Genomic DNA, 22916 nt, shown 5'->3' with positions numbered 1-22916 from the left:
AAATCATGTAGTGAACTATTAATTTCTCAATTTAAAGGGTTTTCATCACTTTTATTGGTGTTATTTTGCTATCATACTCCAGCTGCATGCTATACTCTAGCACTTTTTCTTTTAACTTAATTGCTTGCTAACATTTCCAGATGTGGAAAACAGACACATTAGTTATTCCTAATAAGTATTTTATTTTCCTTTCTGATCTGAAGTGTATTATATTACCTTTTTCTTTTTTTCTAGAGCATTGGTTACAGTATAGCTTTTAGCTGCAGGTGACAAAATGCATTAGAGGTTTATTTTTCCAACACATGATGTTTGGAATTATGTGGTTCATGTTGGTTCAGGAACTCAAAGATGTGAGAGCTCTGGGTTGCCTTTTCTGTAACATATTGTGTGTATGTGTGGTGTGTGTGTGTGTGTGTGTGTATTTATGCACATATATAAATATATATTTTATACACACACACACACACACACACACGTATAGTGTTCTCCCTCATGGTGTCCACTTGGTCGCAGTAGTTCCCAGCATTCTTTCCTCATATGAAAATTTCCATATCAAAAAGGAAGCAAAGCAAGGTCAGCATTTTATTTACTTCAAAACAAAATCAGAGTAGAGACTTTTATCTAGAAGTTCTTAGCAGGTTAACCCATTGTTAAAGGTTGAATCGTGCTGCTACCCCACCCTCATCCCCAATTCACATGTTGGAGTCTTGAACTCCAGTACCCTATTATTTGAAAATAGGGTCATTGCTAATGTCATTAGTTAAGATGAGGTCATTAGTGTGGGCCCTCATCCATTATGACTGGTGCCCATATGAAAAAAGGGGAAATTTGGACACAGAGACACACATAAAGGGAAGATGATATGAAGAGAGATACAGGGAGAAGATAGCCATCTACAAGCCAAGCAGAGAGGTCTGGAACAGATCCTTCTCTCACAACCCTCAGAAGAAATCAACCCTGCTAACACCTTGATACAGACTTTCAGCCCCCTGAACTGTGAGACAAAAAATTCTGTTTTGGAAGCCACCCAGTCTGTGGTACTTTGTTATAGCAACCCTAGAAAATGAATACACCCTCTTGGGCTTTTAGTGGTCTCATAAGCCAATCTCCCCTGGCTACCCTTCTTCCCAGCCGAGAATGACAAAGAGTTGTGGAAAGTATCTCTGGAGCTTTCAGTCTCCACAGTGAAAGGCTGACTCTAAGGGCTGGAAAGAAGGGCCGGTGATAGCTATTGAGTGGACTACCAGCAGCATCTGCCACAGCCAGTTTTTCACATGTGGCACATGTCTGGCATTCAGATATTTGTTAAAGAAATGAAATATTCTAAGATCGAATACTTTGTCTTCCTCTGACATTGGAAGCATATAAATGGAATTTTATTTTGGTCTTGTTTCTTTGGCATTTTCCAGCTTTAAACTACCATTGCCAAAATAGAAGATATCTCATTTCTAAAAAAAGTTTCCATCTTTTAAAAGTTTTTTCCTAAAGAATAGTGGGACCTAGAATATAGATCTTATTTCATTGGCGGCATATGATTTTACTTTCTTTGACCCAGGCTAGAGCTCATTCTGTTTGGGATTGATGCCTTGTAAGTGCACGGAATATTCCTTTCTAAATTTATGTCCTCTTACATTCTGTCTTTAATTGCATTGCCTACCCTTACACCCTGTTGTGATTTACCCTGTGTTTTGAAATGCACTGCTAGTTTTTGTTTTCCATGTAGATATGACATAAATCAGTAAGGAAAAACAGTATGTGCTTTCCTGTTCCCTAGGAATTTCAGATACCATCATTGTCTTTTAGGAATCTCATTTCTTTTAGTAGAGTGATGCAGCTTGCCCAGAATCCCTTGTCTATGTTTTCTTTGTCAGTCTTCATAAAAATTGTATAGAGTATGACCATTAGAATTGATCGTCTGCGGTTTGATCTTTTACATGACATTACCTTAGGAGCTCATAAAGCTTGTACTTACATTCAAAGGCAGTTATTCCTTGTTGCCTGTAGGTGTTAGGGGGGAAAAATAACACCTTAGGATTGGATTTTTGGACTTATTAGTCCTGTTCGGAAGTCTGATATGCCCCTTATTTTAGGATGTACATTTAAAATGGAGCTTTGGAACCAGGCTAGCATGTCAAAAAAATGCCCCTGTCACAAAAAGTAAAGTTTAGCGTCAATCCGAATGTTACGTTGAATCCATTAGTTAGGCAAAAGGCCCCCTTCTGTTTTCAGACAGGGTGCTTTTTACTGGTTATGAATAGCTGTGTGAATAGTCAAGGCTCTGTCTTTTTGAGGATCAAAATTCATTTTGAAGAAAATGTTGGATAATTTCTTTTAGATTAGCAGAGACTTCAGAATCTCTTCCTTTTAAGTTTATATTGCTGGCAAGAGACTAGAACATGAAACCCAGCATCTCTCATCACCTATTTCATTCCCGTGAAGCAAGATTGAGAGGCCTTGTCTCTTTTCTGAGTATGAAGCATGCACTGACCTGTCACGTTTGATTATTATTTTGTACTTACTTTTTAAGAGGCGTCAGAGGCTCCCAAATGGCTGCTGATGGCCTGAAAGCCTTTAGGAGCCTTAAATTTCAGAGATGGCAGATATGTGCCTCATAGGCCATTAACTCCAGCGCCATCAGGAAATACTGAAGTTGAAAAAGCAGGCTGTTGGTTAATTTTCACCTCTGACCATATTGAGAACAGTGTGGCTTCATGGAAAGGGAAACAAACCAAGAATATGAGGACTAGGGTTGATATCAGGTCTTTCACCAAGAAACTCTGTTACTATGGTCAGGTCATTTAACCTTTCTAGGCCTCACTTCTGGGGAGGCCAAACCACGTGCAAGGTGAGAAGATGAGCTCTGAAATTAAAATCTTAGCTTTATCAATCACTAGCTGTAAAATAGTATCTGCCTCATATAGAGTTATTATGAGGATTGTTTCATTCATCTTATTCATTCTACAGACAGATATTGAATATCTACTGTGTTCTAAGAGCTGAGTATACAGCAATGAATTCGATACAAATAAATAACAAACACATGCATAAACATGCGTAGTGTTTATGTAGAAAGATCTCGTAAGGTTGTGAGATGTGCTTTGATATCTGTGACTGGTGGAAATGAAGGGTGTATAATGACTTTGGATGAGGGAGAATGCGGATGGTCACATTTAAGCTGAGAAGGTGACATTTATGCTAAATTCTGAATGACAAAAAGAAACCAGAACACAAGGAGAACAAATGTGTCAGCCCAGAAGTGACACGAAGCTCAGCGTGTCTGAGAAGCAGGAACAAGAGCAGTGTGGCTGGACCTCAGAGATCAGGAGCTGGGGTCAGGGGAGATTGAAATAGGAGAAGCAAAGGATGTAAATAGCTGCTTAGTGTGCCTGGCACATAGTTCATGGTGCCTGGTTCAATAAATGTTAGCAAATTAGTAGTTATTATCCTTCTCTCAAAAGGATCTCAGAAGAAAATGCTCCTAGTAGTTTAACATTTTTATTTAAAATTAATAGTGACCTCTGGAGAAGCCATGTAGCATCGTTTGGGACATGACTTTTATTAGATAATGATAGGATGGGCATTTGAGTTTTTATTGTGACCACTTAGAGGAAATTTTTTGAACACCTCTCTTTGCCTTTTTCGTTTAAACCACTGCTTTCTTATCTCTACTAACCTTTCTTCTTTTGGTTTATCTCCCCAACTTTCCTGTTATTTCCAAATTTATACCATTATGTTAATGCATTATTGCTTTCAAGCTGTACAAACATCAGAATTTGTCAGAAAAAAATGATGCTATCCCATCTCATAAATAATGAAATATATGTTATCAGAAGTAAATCAGAAGCTATTACACTAGAAAAATGTTAGGAAATGTTCACTATATTTACAAATATTTGTAAAAAGACATCACAAATATTTTCGACTTTCTAGGACAATAAATTCAATTAATAGAACAGAATGGCATTTTTGTTTTTACTTATTATTTCTATTCAGTGAATTGGTTGAGGGGCAAAAATGAAGAAAATAGCAATATTGCCTCTTTTAAATTAGGAGTGTTAGTAGCAATTTTAAAATCCATTTCTTCTGGAAGTTGCTCTTTCCTAAAAAGGGAAACGGAAGCTTTTTTTTTTTCCTTTGGCAATTTCCCCTGATAGATGAAAGTAATGATCAGGTAAAGATCAGAGACTAAGGGGGATAGCAAGCTGCTTTCTCAAAGGATGGTGGGGATTAGTAAGGGCTAATTGTGTGGTGATGTCGTGGTGCAAAGTTGCCCCGAGTCAGCTGAGCTGTGAGCTTGCCCTTACTTCTAACAGTCTTTGAGTTTAAGAAGTTTCTAAACTATCCTCATTTTTGATAATTTGCTAAAAGGACTTACAAACGTTGCTGAAAACTGTTATACTCACAGTTATGTTATTTACAGGGAAAGGATCCATACTAAAATCAGCTAGAGGAAGACACACATGGGGCAGAGTCTGGAAGGTTTCAAACGCACAGCTTTTATTGACCACAGGACATCTGACCCTTCCGGTATCGATGTGTGACAATACTCAAGGAGTATGATAGCCAACCAGGAACTCGTTGAGCCTCCGTGTCTAGAGTTATTTATTGAGACCTTATTATGTAGGTGTGACTGACTGGTTGCACATGTGGTTGAGCTCAGTCTCCACGTCATTTGATACCACGTGACCCAAATTTCTCACCCTTAATCACATGGTTAGTCTGTCTGATGTGGCCAGTTTCCAAGGCAAGACTATTGGGTGTGGCTGGCCCCACCCTAAGATCTAGTGTGGCCAGTCCCCATCCTAAACAGACATTTCAATCAGCTATGGCACAGATTTCCTCCTGGAAGCTGAGGGCAAAGATCAGACCTAGGGTAAGGCCAAATTCCTTACATAAAGAGTGAGAGAGTATCCCTGCACGGACTGTGGAATCCATTATTCTAGAATATGTGTTTTACATTCTGCAATGCTGTGTGAACTTGCTCATGCCGCCTAACCACTCTTAGGCACAGCATTTGTCTTCTGTTGGGAATAATTATGGCATTTACCTCACAGAATATTCTGAGGATTAATGAACACATTTGGGCATGCAGAATTTACTTTAGAATTTCAGCTTTAGCAGCTGCTATTTTTATCATTTCAATGATTATTTTAATCATATTGTTACTTTATTGTTGTTACACTTATGATAAATATTTTTATTAATGTAAACTGCTATTCGAAGTAGCCAAAATGCCAGTTCATTGTTTTAGGGCCTTTTTTGCTGCTTCTTGATCTCGTTTTCTTTGTCTGACTTTTCACGGATTCTTTGTCTCTTAGTCTGTTTATTCATTCTCTGAGTTAATAGAAACTCCTCTGTAATTTTGCTGAGCATTCCAAGCAAAATAGGAAAGTAAAGAGCTTTTTTTTTTTTTTGGGCGAATTTGTTTGTTTTCAGAAATGCTATGGCAAAGATTATACAACTGCAGTCCCATAAGCATTTGGTGGTGGCATTATCTTGTTCTTTTTTAAACACGTAGTACAATAGAGAGATTTGTTTTTTTTTCTCTATGTGGAAATTCTCCTCAGAGCATGTTCAAGTTCTCTTAGCCAAAGTAGAAACATCTTTAAAAAGACGCCTGTTCAGTGCTGTATCTTTCTCTTCAATTTGCTAGTAATAAAATGGACATCCCACCAAAATATTGAGTGTTTTTATTCCAACTAGAAAAATAACATTATCAAGCTTAAGGTTTGCATGCCAAGCCGATTTTATGAAAATACTCAGGTGTTGAATTCATTTTGAATTCAGCTTTAGTTTGGCAAAAAGGCTATGACAAGAAAGACTTGGTGTAATAGTTTATTCACCAATCTACACTTAGATGTAGTTTGTTGTAATAAAAAGTAATTGCTGCGGTATGAAATGATCTTAATATGGCAATATTTTTCATACCAACGTTAGTTCTCATAGAGGTGGTACTATGCTGTTGAGTGGGTTAATTGATTTCCTTTAACAAAACAATGTCTACAGAGCATTTTGCTTTGTATGCAAATGGAGCAGTACTAGAATTTTTAGTTCCTTGTTTTCTTCAATACTGGAATGTAACTTTTTACAATGCCTTTTACTGATTATTATTTTTTGGATGTCTCCCACCCATATAGGTGAGCTTCTCTTACAAGGCCCTGTATTTATCAAAGAACCCAGCAACAGCATTTTCCCTGTTGGTTCAGAAGATAAAAAAATAACTTTGCATTGTGAAGCAAGAGGCAATCCATCACCTCATTACAGGTACAGTGAAAAGTTTGAAAATTCAAATAAAAAAAACTAAACACACTTATGTGGTGATTGTGAATTTTTTTTTGCTTCAATATATTTATGCCATCAGTAAGAAAAAAATACGTGAAGCTATAGTTGTATGATATATTCAACAGATTTAATATATGAAGATTTAAATCTATATGTAGCATATACTTGATTAATTATTGATCATGGCAGAATCCCTAAAGTAAATAATGTCTTTTCATTGATGTATAGTGCAGTTTAATTTATAAACTTGGATTTACATGTACTTGTCAAGAACACATTCATTGTGGGGATGAAATTGTGTTTTAAAGTTAATTTGAAATCATAGTTAAACAAATACTTCTGTGTGCCACCTTTTGTCCGTTTACCATTTTACTGGATATGTGCTTGGAGGTTCAATAAGTAAGGAAGAATAAAATGTATTCTTACCAAAGTCATTTTAATGATTTTTGAAGAGAAAACGTATTTCATTTGTTAGATGTATATCAAGTTAAAGTCTATATTTTTAAGATTATATAAACAATTGCTCTTCACTGAAAACTTTCAAATATCATGCAAAGTATAAGGAAAAAAGAAAAAAAAATCCATACTCCCACCACCTTAAGAAAAAAATATTGATATTTTGGGGATGATGATGGATTATTTGGATCAGATGGGTATTTGTATTATTAAATAACCCAGGATTAATCATTTTTACTCTTAGGAGTGCTTGGGAGACCCACTTTCATGAAGAGATGAATTATTTATAAATTACATGCTGCATTCTTATAAGTGGTTGAAAGAAAGTATTCAAGACACCTTTAAAACAACACGCTCTTTCATGCAATGTGAACATCTACTATGAAAACCCCATTCACACTATTAGTTTTCTTGACAAAACCTTTTCTATAATCTGCAGAACAAGCAAACTTCAGCCAGTATTAATAAAATTTTAAATGTTTAGAGTTGTAATTTAGATCTTATTGAGCCTCTATTGTTCTCTTAAACTATATAAATAATTGAAGCCAATAGTCATTGGTAAACTGGGTCAAGATTGGGGTAGAAGGTAGGTTTTGTATTTTTGCATCTGGAAGTAATCAAGATCAGTCTCTTTCAACAATATTTAACAACATATTTATTGGGGCCCTATTGTGTACTTCAACAAAATAAGCATTATAATTCCAGGTTACTGATTAGAGTTGGCAAAGATGAGAAAAAGTTTTTCTCTGCCTCTACCTCTTTCTATAGAAATAAGAAAGTTATTTAATAAAATCATTTATAAAAGGAAGAAACTATTTCATGAACTAGTTCCATTAATCAGACATAAGCATATGCAACATCTGGAAATATTTTCTTCTTATGGGGAAAGTTGAACAGATCAGCTTAACAATATTTTTTTCCAGCATTTTTGTAAGGCATTCTAACACCTTTTAAATGCATCTGTTTGTTTCTCCCTGAAATGAAAGATTATTCTCATAGACATAGCTGTAAATATGATAAAGCAGCCATGTGAATGACTCATGTGTGGGCTGTTTTTCTGTTGTCAGTAAAGTTGTATTTCCTGGTGTTTATCTTACGAATAATTTGGTGATAAATGTGTTCACCTGAAAAGTTGTCAAGATACAAGATTTAGTCATATAGGAATGTATTTCTAAATGAATAGATTAATTATGTTTGTATAGTTTTATCAAATAGCCAAAGGTCTTGAGCTTAGATATCCAAAAATAACCTTGTGTAGTAATTATGTCTTTAAATAACAGGTGCCTATTGTAATGCCATGGAGTCTGTATTTAAATATATTGATAACATGTAAAATGTTGATAAAGAAGTTTCACTGTTTGCATAGTGATTCTTGTTTTATTATACGTCCTGGGATGTCATCCTGGCATTTATATGTTGCAATTTTAACAAAATCTGTTACTGAGACTAGGAGATGTGTGATTTGGGCTGATTTATTAGTTTTAGGTTTGATAAATGAAGAAATTTAACATGTTTGGTATTGTTTGATGATTTTTGGTTTGTAGCCAAATAGAGCAGATACTTTCCTTATAACTTTAAAAATTTTCTAAAATTAAGATTTCTAACCAATATAAAATTTCACTTAAACTAAAAGTTTATGACCACTAGAAATTGAGACCTAGAAAACACAAGAGAAGCTCGTTTCATTCTAAGAAATATCAGACTCTGTTTTAAGAAGAAACAACCCCTTGTTATTCATGTTATCTGAGTAAGAAATAGATTGTGCCACTGCAGTAAATGGGATATGGAATAATGTGGGTTGTAATGACAAATTTGTCTTTTTAGATGACATCTTTATTTTTGGCCTATTTTTTTCCTACCTTTTAATTTTAATATTCAGCTAGGCAATATTTCACATTATTCTTTAAAATGGTTCAGAATAAAATATGCTTGCCTATTCCTATTTTTTTATTGTCCTTCAAAAATCACAAATAAATACTCTAAATATATAATGACATCGAGGACATAAAAAGGAAGAATATGGTGGATCTTTTTACATGAAGTCAGAAAAAGTATTTTTTAACATATATAATCATAAATATAAGCAGATAGAGAGACAGCCAAGGAGGAATATTAAGGAGCCATGTGAAACCACTTGTTAAAGGCAATCCAAACATGTTTTTAAGGATTCAGAATAAAGTTAAAGAATCTTGTAAAAGAATGTCCTTTGAAAGACCAAATCCTGCCTTATAGACTGATGCCAACTTGTCTGAAGAGTGATCTTGTCTTTGTTTTTATCCCATCAGGTAAAAAGAACTCTTAATTGGCCATGTTGGAAATCCAAAAGTTCAGAAATTCTCAAGAGAAATTACTCGTCTTAGGGTTTAATTGAGGATTTTATTCTTTCTTTTGCAGTTCCCTGCCTGAGCCCCAAAGCCTATATTTAAAGGTTAATTAGTATTCAATCTCATTGTAACTGCTGATAGTGCTGAAGGAGGTTACCCTGAGGAAGTATTAATACTTTTTCTAAATGGGAAATATTTTCTTCCACTTTTTATGGGGTTAGAAATGTCCAATCAACTAATGCTAAGATGAAAGACCACAAATAGGAGAATCCCTGGTCGCTGCTGCTGATGCCATTTAAAGGGGCCACTTGTTTCAGTGAGATTGGGGTAAAATAGGTACATGCCAACAGGGACCAGGCAAATAACAACTTTGAAAGAGGAAGGCCTGCCTGAAGAACATATAGACATATTGAATAATGACTGGAAACTGTCTATCATTCAACCCTAAGCCTATCATTATGTGATCATAACTGCTTCTCAGCACTGGCCAATTGTTACCATCTAGGAATCCTGGTCCGGTATTACCAAAGCTTTCTAAGAGAGTTTTACAATTTAGATATTTTCATTTTGGAATCTCTAACTTTACTGTTAACTCTGTTTTTCTTTTAAAACATAATGTAGACCAAAAAAGGTAAGTCGTAAGTCTGAATGTGGCCCATGTGGGCCTTGTGTTTCCAACTTTTAGTCTAGCTCAAGACTTAGAGGTTTGCTGTCCAATATGGTAGCCAGTAATCACATGTGGCCCTTGAAATTTAAATCAATTAAGTTAAATTAAAAATTCAGTTGTTCAGTCACAGAAGCTTCATTTCAAGTGCTTGGTAGCCACGTGTGGCTAGTTGCCACTGTATTTGACAGTACAGATGAATATGTCCAGGCTTGCAGAATGTTTCAGGTCGACCCCTGGGCCCACAACTCTTTTCTATAAATGCTTTCATTTTTCTCTCTTCACAAGGAAGTAAACAGAACGTTATTCTCTTTCAGCTCTATAGGAACAGGTAAACAATTTTAATAGAGTGTAAGGAATCTTGGATACAGAAGTTGTAAGGGCTAAATATCATTGCAAAGTGGAGGTCTTTCCTGGCCACAGTTGCCCTTAAACATGGTTGTCTATAATGGAGTCACATCCTGCACATATTTAATTTACTGATAGTCAACTGAATGCATTTAATTTACTGATAGTCAACTAAATGCATTCAGTATAAGAAAGAAAGGGAAAATAAAATAATGTGCTAAATTCTGCTAACCATTTATTCAAGGAGTGGATGTAAGGAAGGGAAGTCTGAGTTTATTTCTTGTCTATATATTGACACAGTAATATATATCTAGGCACACAGAGTACTATACATAGTACTGTATTTGGTGCTATATGTATATATACACACACTATGTGTATGCTGTCAATTCTATATACATATAGTGTTCCATTTTTAGAATATATAGTACATATATAGTATATGTGCTATATGCTAGTCTATCATAATATAGCATATATATGACATTTTAAGCATAATTTTGATTATATGCAATTTGTCCTTTACATATTTCTTATTGCTATGTAAGATCTGATATCATTGTTATTTTACTTTTATGTGTCAAGACGAGTTATTGTTCCTCTAAATTATTTTGGCACTTAAAGAAATGAAATCCTTTTTGTCAGATTTATAAGTCCAGATCTCTGTGTTCATGCTCAAGTTCAACTCCTTTCCACATCCTGGCTTCTCCAGCTGGTGAGCTCTGGTCCCCACACCCACAATCAGCCACATTTGAGAGTAATCAAATAGCCACATGGTGGAATGAAGACAAAACATAAACACACTAAAGAATATCTACAGTGCCTGAGGCAAACAGAGGTAGATACACCTCTTACTGGGCAACTTAAACTTGGTTGCACTATCATCTCTCCTAGGAAGCGTTCTTGACATCCTTAGTGCTGGATTCTGTGCTCAAACAATGTGCCCAACCGTTGCATTGCATTACCTATATGATAAAGCTTATCAAAATGAAGTCAGATTGCCCTAGTAGGCTGTAACTCCTTTAAAAGTGAAGACACCTTTAACGGTGAAGTGTGTCCTTCATTCTTACATTCCAAATGCCTAGCAAAATAGTGAATGCCTAATTAGTGGCATCAACAAAGTGGTATAAAGGTAAAAAGGTGGAAAACAAATAATGGAATTTGGGATTGTATTATATTTCAGGAGTCAATAATATCATGAAGGATCACAGGGTCAGAAGTTGTTAATAGTTGATTCTGTAAGATATTCTTAAATTTGTACTGAGTCTTATTTTTTGGCTCCATTTAAAGACAAATTGCCTTGAGGTGACAAAGATGGCTGCCTGGAACTCCAGGCTACTCATTTCTTCTGCAAAATGTCAACTGGAAGAGTAGAGTATCTTTCTAATAAATGTCATCAAAAACTCCAAATGGTGTCAGAAAAATGTGAAATAAAAATGAAGCTAATCCTGTCAGTAGTCAATACCCAGCAGAGACATAAAGGTTAGATTTTAGATATTAAAGGTGATAGTATAACAAAATAAATCATATCCTTTTTTTGTTTCTCTTTCTTGTGTTTTTTCAGTGGGGCAAGGGGAATGGATGTACACGTATTGATCAAACACAAGCTAAATCAGTTGGGTCACATTCACATTCTTAAGCAATCGGTAAGGTTGAGCCATGGAATGTTCTGACTGGCCAGGCCAGGTTCGTATGAGGAGGGCTGCTTTAAAGGAGAATAGAGGAGCTGCTACCAGGAAAAGCTAAGATGGCTGCAGGGAAGGCAATAAGGGAAAACATCTGTAACACTCCTTGAAATAATTTTAAGAGAATCCCTGATTGATATGAACCAGGTTAGAACCATGGAAAGTGAACAGTTGTTTTTAATCCCAATGTGGCTCTCTAATCTGTTTTATGTTTTTATGTATGTTCAAAATTTATCGATGAGTGAGAAATGGGAATCTATATCATAAAACACATTTTAAACATTCAATTTTTTAAAAAAACAGCATGGCAACTTTAACTCATTTAGGTCTTTAGCAATTATTGCTGAAGTCTAACTAGTTATTTTTGGATAAAGTATTGAATATGCAAATTCAGACATTCATTCTTTCGAAGGCTGCAATTATTCTCATCACTTCAGTAAACATATTAACAAACATTGCATTTGAACACAGACACATTTGCTTATTAACTTGAAAGCTGCATCTAAAACCACAAATTGCTTCTGTGATTAAATTTCTAATTTTCCTGTCAAACCCCAAATAAAGTATTGCCTGTTGATTTAACAAGTGTTTAGTGTGGGCATATTTCCTAAACCCAAATCCCAGACCCCCCCAAATTTTCGTAAGTTATTTTGTTCTTTTCGCGTTGGTTCATGCTGAAGTTTAAAATGCAACGTTTGTTTCTCTCTAGAATGTTGTTTGTATGTCCATTGTCCAGACCAGATCTTGTGTGACAGAGTAGATATTCTGAAAGACAATAGCTTTATATAATCAACTGTGAGGTGAATTCTATTTGGGGTTTATTTTTTAAACTACTTAAAGTCGGTTTTGTTAGCTTCAATTTCAAGTTGTGATATTGCCTAGCCTTATTAGCAAGTTCAAATGGAAGACACAATTTAGAGCCTGCTGCTTTAAATTATAGCAATGACAACATAGATCTGTGTTTATATTCATTATTGTTATTCCATATGCTAGTGTGGTTTTGTGAAAAGGTTGCCATTTCTGATAATACCTAATATGTTAAATAATAATAACTAGTAAGATAAAGGAAAATAATGATGTATTAATTCCCTCTATCTTTAAGATTGTTTATTGGCAATATGGATGACCACAGTCCGTGAAGACTATGCGGAGGTTAGTAATGGCTAGGGTAGAAAATAGAATTAGATTGCTTTATTCAAGAAACTTCTATTAGTCCCTGTCATGTACAAAATATGATGCCTGATGGTAGAAATTCAACAGTGATTGAAATAGTCATTATCCAGTGGAGTTTACATACTTTGAAAAGCACCTTTTGACTCTTAGAATTTAGGCTTTTTTACTGATTTAACTCATTATTATACAAATTTGTGTTTACAGGCACACACATACACACACACACACATTCGTTTTCTTTCTGTCTCTCAAACATAGTTTGTTCTTTGTGTTGGAAGGCAGTGATTTTTATACCCTCAGCCACTGATGTTTTAGTTTATTTCCTGAAAGTGACAATGAAAGTTTTTATCATTTAGGAGTAATAACTACCAGTTTTGAAATAACTCCTATGTCAGGTATATTATGCTTTCTATTCAGGAATCAAAAATTGTTGGCCTCAGGGCATGCAGCTGTTTTAAGGAAATTGTATTCAAATTCATTTATAGGTGGAAATCTGCTTTAGACTCCACCATTATATTTTATTAGGCTTGGTCCAGTTCTCTCAGACACTACCTTTTCTAGCCAGTGTCCCTGTTGTGTGTAGAGAATGTAACTAAGATTTAAAAGAAGGGGATTGATCAAAGATACGCTCCCTTAAGTAGGCCAGTAACCCAGGACTTCTAATTCCAGTACCCCAAATATTTCTCTCTGATTATTGACTGAGACACAAGTTCACATAGAACCTTCACACAAACCAGTTTAAGAGGATGAAAGCTCATTGAGAATTACTAGATTTGTGAAATATGAGTAATAAATCATTTCTCACTTGTGATTCTAAAAGCAGATTCTAATTTGTGTAAAATGAGTGTTTGAACACTGAAGGCTGACACTGAACTTGTAGGATCATTCAAGTGTGTTACAACATGATAATTATGCAACAGTGTTTAATCTTGTGACATTTACCACCAAGCTGAAGCTACAAGGCTACTCTGCTTCTGGAGCACAATGTAAATGTTATATGATTGAAATGCTGGGGTGTGTAGCCCCAAGAGACACGAGGTTGTCTTCTTTTGTTCCAGATCACTGCATTAAGCCTTTTGGAATGGGATTTGGGTATACAAATATACTTTTATGAAGTTTTACATAATTTTCATATTTCAAAAAGATTTCATTCTGATACTTAGAGTTCCTGGTGAACTTTTAAATTCCTTGGTAAAAGTAGAAATTTGTAATTTTTACAAAGAATTATGAATATGCAGAACCAAAAGGCAATGTTTACTACTAAAAGCTTCCCAAATTTATGACCTGAGTGTGCCATTTACCTGTCACAGCTTACTACTGAATGTTTGAATGTTGTGTTCATGAAGCCCAGACAGTTGGATTACAGTTTCCTGCAAAGAAAATGAGTCTAATTTGAAGATTTATTGGACACATACTTTGTAAAAGAAGGAGCTGAACCTGCGTATCCCTTCAAGTTTTTTTTGTTTGTTTGTTTTTTGTTTTTTGTTTTTTGAGACAGGATCTGGTTCTGTTGCCAACACTGGAGTGCAGTGGTGCCATCTCAGCTGGCAGCAACTTCCATCTTCCAGGCTTAAGCCCTCTCACCTTAGTCTCCCGAGTAGCTGGGACTACAAGCACATGCCATCACACCTGGCTAATTTTCACATTTTTTTTTTGTAAAGATGGTTTCTCCGTGTTGCCCAGGCTGGTCTCAAACTACTGGCTCCAAGAGATCTTCCCAGCTTGGCCTCCCAAAGTACTAGGATTACAGGCATGAGCCACTGTGCCTGGCCCTTATTATTCATTTCTTACATGAATGAAAATACTAGACATACTTAGAAATCAGTCCCAAATATGAGTATTTTGCATTGGGAACTTACATATACTAGTTTGTTTCTCAGGATAAAATATTAATATCTGTTGGCAGCTTAGGCCCAGAGATTACTTGCACATTTCAGAGTTTAAACAAAGACACCCCTTTTGAGCTCACATATTTTCAGCAAGAGGAAAAACAATCAGTGTTTAATAAGATATTGAGAAATTTTATATAACCTGGGGTGAGTTCCATTTAATGATGAATAGTATTAGGCAGGAGAAAAATAATTATATTGCTTTGTTAAAAGAAAATTAACATTCTTCTGGTTATGGCAAGTATATTTTAGCTCTAAAGAGTTTACTAACGTGAATACACTAATACTTTGGGAACATATTTAAAAATGCAGGAACATATTTTAAAAATAATAGTCTTTGCCTTTTCATATAGTGAAATAATCTAGAGATTGTGTCTGTATGATGAAGACCGAACTAAAGGAAGTGAGAAGCGTTTGTGTGTAATGGAACAAATCTTTCTCCTTTTGATTCTTCAGTCAAAACATAAGGATGATAGTTTTACATCTTGGACACCTAATGAAATAAAGTATATTCCAGCATACTTTATGGTTTCTTAAATCTTTCCATCTGTTAAATATGTAAGAATAAGTGCTTCTCCATATTTTTTTATCTTTAAAATTTTCCATATAGCCACTGTACCTTGATTATTCTTCAGCTAAACAGAAAAACACAATTTTCAAATGAAGCCATCAGGCATGCTTAGTCAGGCCATAAACATTCTAAGTCCTGAGCTAAAAAGTGTTTTTTCCTATAAAAACTGCTCTTCTTAGATAAGATAAACTCAAGTGCCCTTTGTCATGAGAGTCTTTCCTTCAAAAGTGTTTGAACTTAACTGCATCTTTTCTGATTTGGGTTTAGAGGAGCTTTTCCCGCTGCAAGCATTTAGTCACTTAGTAACTGAGAAATCTCTTACAGCTTAAAAATTAAACCCACCCACTTGTGATTTACTGTCAGATGTATTCTTTAAAAGTCAATGTCAGTATGTATTCTCATCCCACTTTTTGCTGACATCTCAGGGCAGGTACCAATGTCATCCAGCCATAGGTGGAAGACATAGTCTGTTCCATGTAAAAGGAGAGGACTAAAAGCATTCAATCGAACATAGAACCAACATGTGCTTGATGGGAATGGAACAGAAGAGAAGCAAAGGGGACAGATGGGTTTGCAGCCTTTGATGGGACCTCCTCCCATACTAACCATGATATTTGCCCGTTTGTTGAATGCCTTCCCTGTGGAAGCACTGAGCTGAGAGCTTTGCATACATTGTCTGAATAAATTTGAAGAGCAATCCTATGGGATAGATGGCATTCTCTCCATTTTATATGTTAAAAGCTTAGGTTCAGGGGTGTTAGGTAATTTTCCATGGTCATGCAGTGGGTGTCAGGTGAGTCCAACTGATAAACCAATGAGCAGTTGGTACCAAATCCCATTTCTTTTCATTATGCTGTTGGTTGAAAGGCATGACTAAGGCCTGGGGATTAGGCGGAGGGGTGGGGGTGGGAACAGAAACTAGGAAACTAGGGGAAAAAATCTAAAAAATGTGAGCTTCATGAAGTCAGGGACCTTTTACCACAACTTCAGAACATAGAAAATTGCCCAGTATAGACACTTCATAAATGTTTTTTTACTGATTGGGAAGAAGGGAGGGAGAGAGGAAGGGAGGAAGGGAGGAAGGGAAGGAAGAAAAGAAAGAAGGGAGGGAGGGAGGAAGGGAAGGGGAGGAGGGAGGGAAGGGCTTTCTAATCGGTTGTTGAATATGAAATAGGCTAAATTAAAAGTGAGCAGTTCTTTTCTGCTTGTGTCTACTGTAGGCAGTCCATGGTTACTTGTTGGGGATGGTCTAGATCAGTTCTTCTCAAACTTGAATATGCATATTAGTCACTGGGAAATCTTAAGATGCAGATTCTGACTCAGTAGATATGGTTTAGGGCCATAGATTCTGCGTCTCCAACAGACTCTCATGGGGTGATAATGCTGGCCTGCAGACCATATTGTGTTTCAGAGTATTCACAAGGAGTGTGAATGGATACTTTTTCTTTATTTTACTTGCTTTTCTGAATTTCTGTAGTTCTAGGACTTGGGATGGAATAAGATGAAAGAAGGTTTATGAGTGCTCCCAGTTCAAATTCAAACCTTAAGGGTAGACTTAAAATCAAAATGAGACATAGTGACACAAATGTTCATGAGATATGGACTTGATTTGGGAAGGATAATAAGAGAGTTTACTTTGCAAATAAACCAAACAAAAACCAATAGCAGAAATCTGCCGTAAATGAAAAAGATGTTGCAGATTTTTCTTTCTAATTTTGTTCCAGTTCAAAAGAGAAGAGTTGGAATGGAACCTCCAGTTTATTCTCTTAATTTCATTTGGGTCTTCTTATTAAAAATGTTGCTTTAAGACCTGAGGAGGTCATATGTGAAGGAAAACAGAAAAAGTGAGAAAGCCTTGATTTTTAAAATTAGCAAATGATAAAATAAACTTTGAGCAGTAAGGATTAAACTTATAAACTCACCCATTTTCTTTACTACTCAGTCATTAAAACTTCATTATGCATTATTTCAGATATAGAAAATGATACAGACATACAATAGGGCATAATGATAAACATCCATATAATTACTTCTTAATTTAAGAACTAAAACCAAAAAAGCTAAATTTCCTACTCTCTCTCCATGAGAGCTTTAAAATACCTTAAAGTTGAAGTTTATGGCCGGGTGCAGTGGCTCACTCCTGTAATCTCAGCACTTTGGGAGGCCGAGCTGGGCGGATCACGAGGTCAGGAGATCGAGACCATCCTGGCTAACACGGTGAAACCCTGTCTCTACTAAAAATACAAAAAAATTAGCCAGGCGTGGTGTCGGGCGCCTGTAGTCCCAGCTACTCTGGAGGCTGAGGCAGGAGAATGGCGTGAGCTCAGGAGGCAGAGCTTGCCGTGAGCTGAGATCGCACCACCTACACTCCAGCCTGGGAGACAGAGGGAGACTCTGTCTCAAACAAAAAAAAAGTTGAGGTTTATAATTTTCATACCTTTTAAAATACACTTAGTACATAATTAATAATTATGTAATATTGATGTATTACACTATATAATTATACAGTATAATTATATATAAATATATAAAATAATTATGTATAATGATTATATATTTTAATGTATTATACATTATAATGTAAGTGTATTTTAAAAGATCTGAAAATTATAAACGTCAACTGTATTTTAAAACTTCACATAAATGGTATCTAACTGAATTTTTTAATTTACCTTTTTATGCACCATTGCTTGAGTCAGCCATGTTTATAAAAGTGGCCCATTTTCACAGTTGTGTAATATTCCATTTAACTTTATGCACTTGTATTTGAGATGATGTTCACATTTCATCTCTTTATATGTTTTCTCAACATATGTGCAGGTTAAATATTGTATATATTAAAGCAACAATTTTTAGATGGCCCATAACATCATTGAAGAACTCTGAGCTGGAATTCAAGTAGGTGCCACTCCTGATCCCACCAATTAATAGTTTTGGGGACAGTTGTCAACTCACATGGTTGCTTTATTAAAATCATTATCTATAAAATGGGCATTATAGTTTTCATTTTTGGCAAATTATTATAAAAATAATTGATATGACCATTGTTATAATATGCTACAATTTACAGAACTGATGGCAGTGTAATTTTATTATAAAAATTGGGTCATCTAGGAGCTGGGTGCCCTGTTTTTTACGGTAATGTGTTCTTGAGATTGTGGGATATGAATGAGTATTTAAAGGTGAAGTACTGTGATATGTCAAGCATACTTACTGTTTAAAAACTTTCAGCTTAAAACCTCTTATTTAAAAACCAGCTTCTCTCTTCATTTATCTTTAGGCTTCTCGTTGATAAATATGGCTCTGGGGTTAGTGCCTTTACCTTTTCCGACCCCCTAGGTAGTGTTTATGGTCATTTACCACAGTGTACCATTTTGTAAATAGCACTGTAATGGCTTAAAAAAGTGGAGAATGCCTCGGGGACAGGTATTTACCCAGACAAATTGAAATGGATAGTTGAGCACTTACCCAATTAATTTATTAAATGTGCTCAGTCAATCTGGATAAATCAAAGAAATGTGCTGTTTTCTTCCTTCATTGTCAGCAGGACCTTGGCCTAAAGTATCTGAGATAATTATCTCAACTTTCTACTTCATCTTTGCCTATACAGACCTAGCCTAATTTTTCCCCAGTGAACAAATGAAATCATTCCCACCTCCTAAGAAACCTTTAAAAACTTTAACTGCTAGATGCTACTCTGTTATACTTTCTACTGTGCTTTAACTTTTCGTTTCTGATAAATACTTGGGCATATTTGATCTTCAGTTATGTAACACTTGAATAATATATGTATCACTTTTTACTTTTGAGGGATAATGTTTAAAGTAGATTTTATAATGGAGAGCCTTCTTTTAAGTTAAAAATACTAAGGGGGGGGAACCTTGATATTTGTTTTACAGATGGCAGCTGAATGGAAGTGATATTGATATGAGTATGGAACATCGTTATAAGTTGAATGGAGGAAATCTTGTGGTTATTAATCCCAACAGAAATTGGGATACAGGAACTTACCAATGTTTTGCAACAAATTCACTTGGAACAATTGTCAGCAGAGAAGCCAAACTTCAGTTTGCCTGTAAGTTTATGTTCACATGTCTAGCAAATCCAACATTAGAAAATATGTAACTTAATTTGTGTAGTCGTTTTGGATTTCAGAAATAATACATGGGTTTTATTAATTCAGTAAATAGACTGAGAAAGCAATTCAGTATGATTTTTGGACATTTTATAGTGTTCAAATCAGAGCTTTAAATGTGTGTGTGTGTGTATGTCTGTGTGTATGCTGGTGTGCATGTGTGCATGTAGGGGTGTGTGTGTGTGTGTGTGTGTGCTCTATTTTAGTATTTCACAAGGATTCTGTTTAGGGAACAGAAAAGAATGCAGTTGAGGATATTTTTATTGAGCAGCTACTATGTGCATTTTACTGTGGAAAAAAATGCGAAAGAATTGTCAGAGATGGTCCTTGCTTTTGAAGAACTTTTAGAAAATTCCATCTGACAAACCTGAAAATATTAAGGAAGAAAGACTGTCAGAACAAGAAGAAGTTACCATATGTGGTGACATGTTGTTGACTCCTCTGGGGTCTTATCACAGATGACCTCACAAATTACCCTCAGCACAGCTCCCACTGACGCCTGGGCTCTGGGAGCCATTTTGTACCATGTTATTTGGACCTAGGTGGGCACATAGCCCAACCTGAGAAAGTCACATGCTTTCTCTAGGAAATTTGGACTTGGACCCAGAGGCTCAATTTATTTTTTATCTTTGCTTATTTTCTCTTTTTTTTTTTTCTTTTTATTAGTCTCTCTTTATTTTAGTTGTGTATTTTGTACATAATGCATATCATGATTACCTTGGTTCTGAGATTTCTTGTAGTTATTCACACCTCAATAATTCTGAAATTGCAATGCATGTGTTCTTATAATGAGGTAGTATTCTTTCTGTTTTCCCCATAAACTTTTTATTAAATTAATGATGGGTCATTTAATGTCTAGCCTATTCTTTTGCTTTCTATTTTAACAATGGCAAGGGTTGGCTTTGCTTGTGCCATTATATTCTGTGTGTTCTGTTTTTCATATTTATTTTGTTCTTTCCTTTGTTTTCTCTTTATTTCTTTCTGTAGGCAAAATATTTTTTACTTGTATCTTCTCTGCATATTTTGAAAGCTATATGTGATGTTTATATTATACAACTAGTTACCCTTAAGTTAACTAAAGTACTTTGTATATATTTCTCTAATAGACAGAATTTAAGTTTATTTTTTCAGAGTTTCTCTGTTTTAAACAAAGAGTTTGGTTTCCTTTTTCCTCTTGAGCTATATTTTGCAGGTTTAGTGCAATTTCCATGGTTGATTTAAATTATGTTATTTTAATGTATATAGGAATATATATATATGTTTGGATATGTATAAATATATATGTAATAGTCTTCTCATAGATAATTGTGTATGTGCATATAGTTGTTAACTAGAATTTTGGCAAAATCTATGATGTATCCATGTTTTACCTGGCATTACTGCCAACTACTAGACCTCTTCTTATTTTTATATTCTTATTTCTTAAAATTTCTCAATAAATTTTAAAATATTTGTAACATTTACTATGTTACATTAAAAAATTCAAGTATGTTTCATGCTTTTTCATTTTAAGGAATGTCATCATATTCCCTTGAAAGTGAGGACATCATTTGGTTGATAATAAATGTTGAGTCTTGGAGCTGTTTAACAGAGAATTCCGAGTGTTTTGCTCTGTTGTCTTCTGGAACTAGTGCTGCTGAGGAGAGGAAGGTGGCCAGGCTAATTTCTGGTTTTGGGGAGTTCACCACCACCCCTTGTATTTTGGGGTTCGCTTGGTTGTATATTGGAGGATTATTTTTTCTTCATCTTTCTAGTTTAAAACATATAGATTTCCAGCATATAGCTAAGTTTAGGTTATTTTAATTTACTTTGCTTAGAACTTGAAAAATTCCTTTTTTGTACTTATACATTTTGTATACAGTTCAGGAGAGTTTCCTTTTATATATTTTAGTTTTATGTTCAATTTATATTTTCAAATGGCATGATCATCTATATTGGATTTCTTTTTTTGTGTCCCATTCTTTGAAATTCTTTTCATCTCAGCCTGTTCTTTCCTATGACTTCCTGTTCCTGATTCATATTTTTGTATTCTTTTTGTATTCTTTTGAAGATACAGTCAGTTTTCTGAAATGCTATTTATGATCTTAGAGGCAGGGTTTCCTCCACCGCTTCCATTTGGTGTTTCTATTTTTATGCTTAAGTATGTTCAATAGGTTCTAAAACAAATCTTGTCTAAACTCAGTCTTTGTCTACAAGATGGTGTTGGTGGACTACCCAGGCCCTGCAGTCTTTGCCCTGTGAAGAGTGGCAGATGAGCAATTCGCAGCCTAATTCCTTGTTTCTAGGAGTCATTCCTCTTATAAAGTGATACATACATTCCTCTAGTGATGTTTTTCTACTATGGATTCTTAATTTCATACCTGATAACATATGAAGAAATATAATAAACTTACAGGTATTTCCTCAGTCAGCCCCTCCTGAAAAGTATGACTTGTAAGAGAAAAAAAGAATACGACATGTATGACAAAATACCTCTAAAATTATCTTTCACCTCTTGCAGTCTGCCCCTAGTTCTTGGCCAGCACTTTATATGGGCAGAGTGGGGTGAAGTTGTTGAATGAGGGATGGGATTTTAATCTATTTAGGAGCTAACAAGCTAGTCTTACTGTTTCATGGAGGCTGGAAGAAGACATGAGGCTCCCAGGTCAGTGACTAAGGACTTTATTATTCTTAGAACATAAAGCATCATGAGGTTCAGCATGTTTGATTGAGTTCCCCTTAACTCCAAGTCCCACAGAGAAATGCAAAAAGGTTAGGGTAGATACTGCACCCATCTATGGGAAACACTGGGCTTAGATAATCCATCTCTTTTACAGCAAACAGTAAGCAAGCCTGGTCCTTGTCCCAGAGGGAGACATTACCTTATCCCCCCAGGTTGCTCTCTGCAAACACATCCCTGAGATGAGAGCATGGCAATGAGCAGTTAGACCATTCATTCCTTCTTGGCACACCCAGCAAAAACTTGCAAGAGAGCCCAGAGCACGTGGAAGATTGCCTCTCCCAATAGAAATTATTCATTTTCTTTGTTTGGTACTGTCCTTGAGTTTCTGAGTTGGGGTGCACCATATGAGGATACATAAGGTGAGTGAAGTACATACTATTTTCCTACCTTTATTATAATTCTCCCTTTCGTAAAGCAAACCTAAGATGTAACATTGAATACCTTAGGTTTCCCCCCAGTCTGTCCCCCTCTGCTTTACAAGTTTTATTTATTCCCTATATATTGACATTTGATTGCTTAGCTGTGTTGCTGTACAGTGAAATTATATTTTTTGTTTTGTTCTGCATTTTTGGTGTTTTTCTAAGTGTTTTATTTGGAAGTTACAAGAAGCAACATTGGGTATTCTTCACCTGACACCACATTGGACTGGAAAGATAAAAAATGTTGT

At 35.3% G+C, this 22916-nt stretch overlaps 1 protein-coding gene across 4 annotated transcripts in view; it reads left to right on the top strand.

Annotated features, from left to right (window-relative positions):
- The window catches only part of CNTN3 (contactin 3), a 352092-nt gene that overhangs the window by 108737 nt on the left and 220439 nt on the right, over nucleotides 1-22916 (top strand). For 3 of the 4 annotated variants that reach the window (NM_020872.3, NM_001393376.1, XM_011533768.3), the window contains 2 exons: nucleotides 6138-6264; nucleotides 19292-19467. In NM_020872.3, coding sequence (NP_065923.1) covers nucleotides 6138-6264; nucleotides 19292-19467 — 303 coding nt within the window. Of the gene's footprint in view, nucleotides 1-6137; nucleotides 6265-12861; nucleotides 12912-19291; nucleotides 19468-22916 lie in introns of those variants that run through there. The other variant, XM_017006508.2, reaches the window with a different exon arrangement.

This window comes from Homo sapiens, chromosome 3 (assembly GCF_000001405.40).
Source record: "Homo sapiens chromosome 3, GRCh38.p14 Primary Assembly".
Classification (NCBI taxonomy): domain Eukaryota; kingdom Metazoa; phylum Chordata; class Mammalia; order Primates; family Hominidae; genus Homo; species Homo sapiens.
The sequence above is the reverse complement of the archived record's forward strand: the minus strand, read 5'-3'. Positions and strand labels throughout refer to the sequence as shown.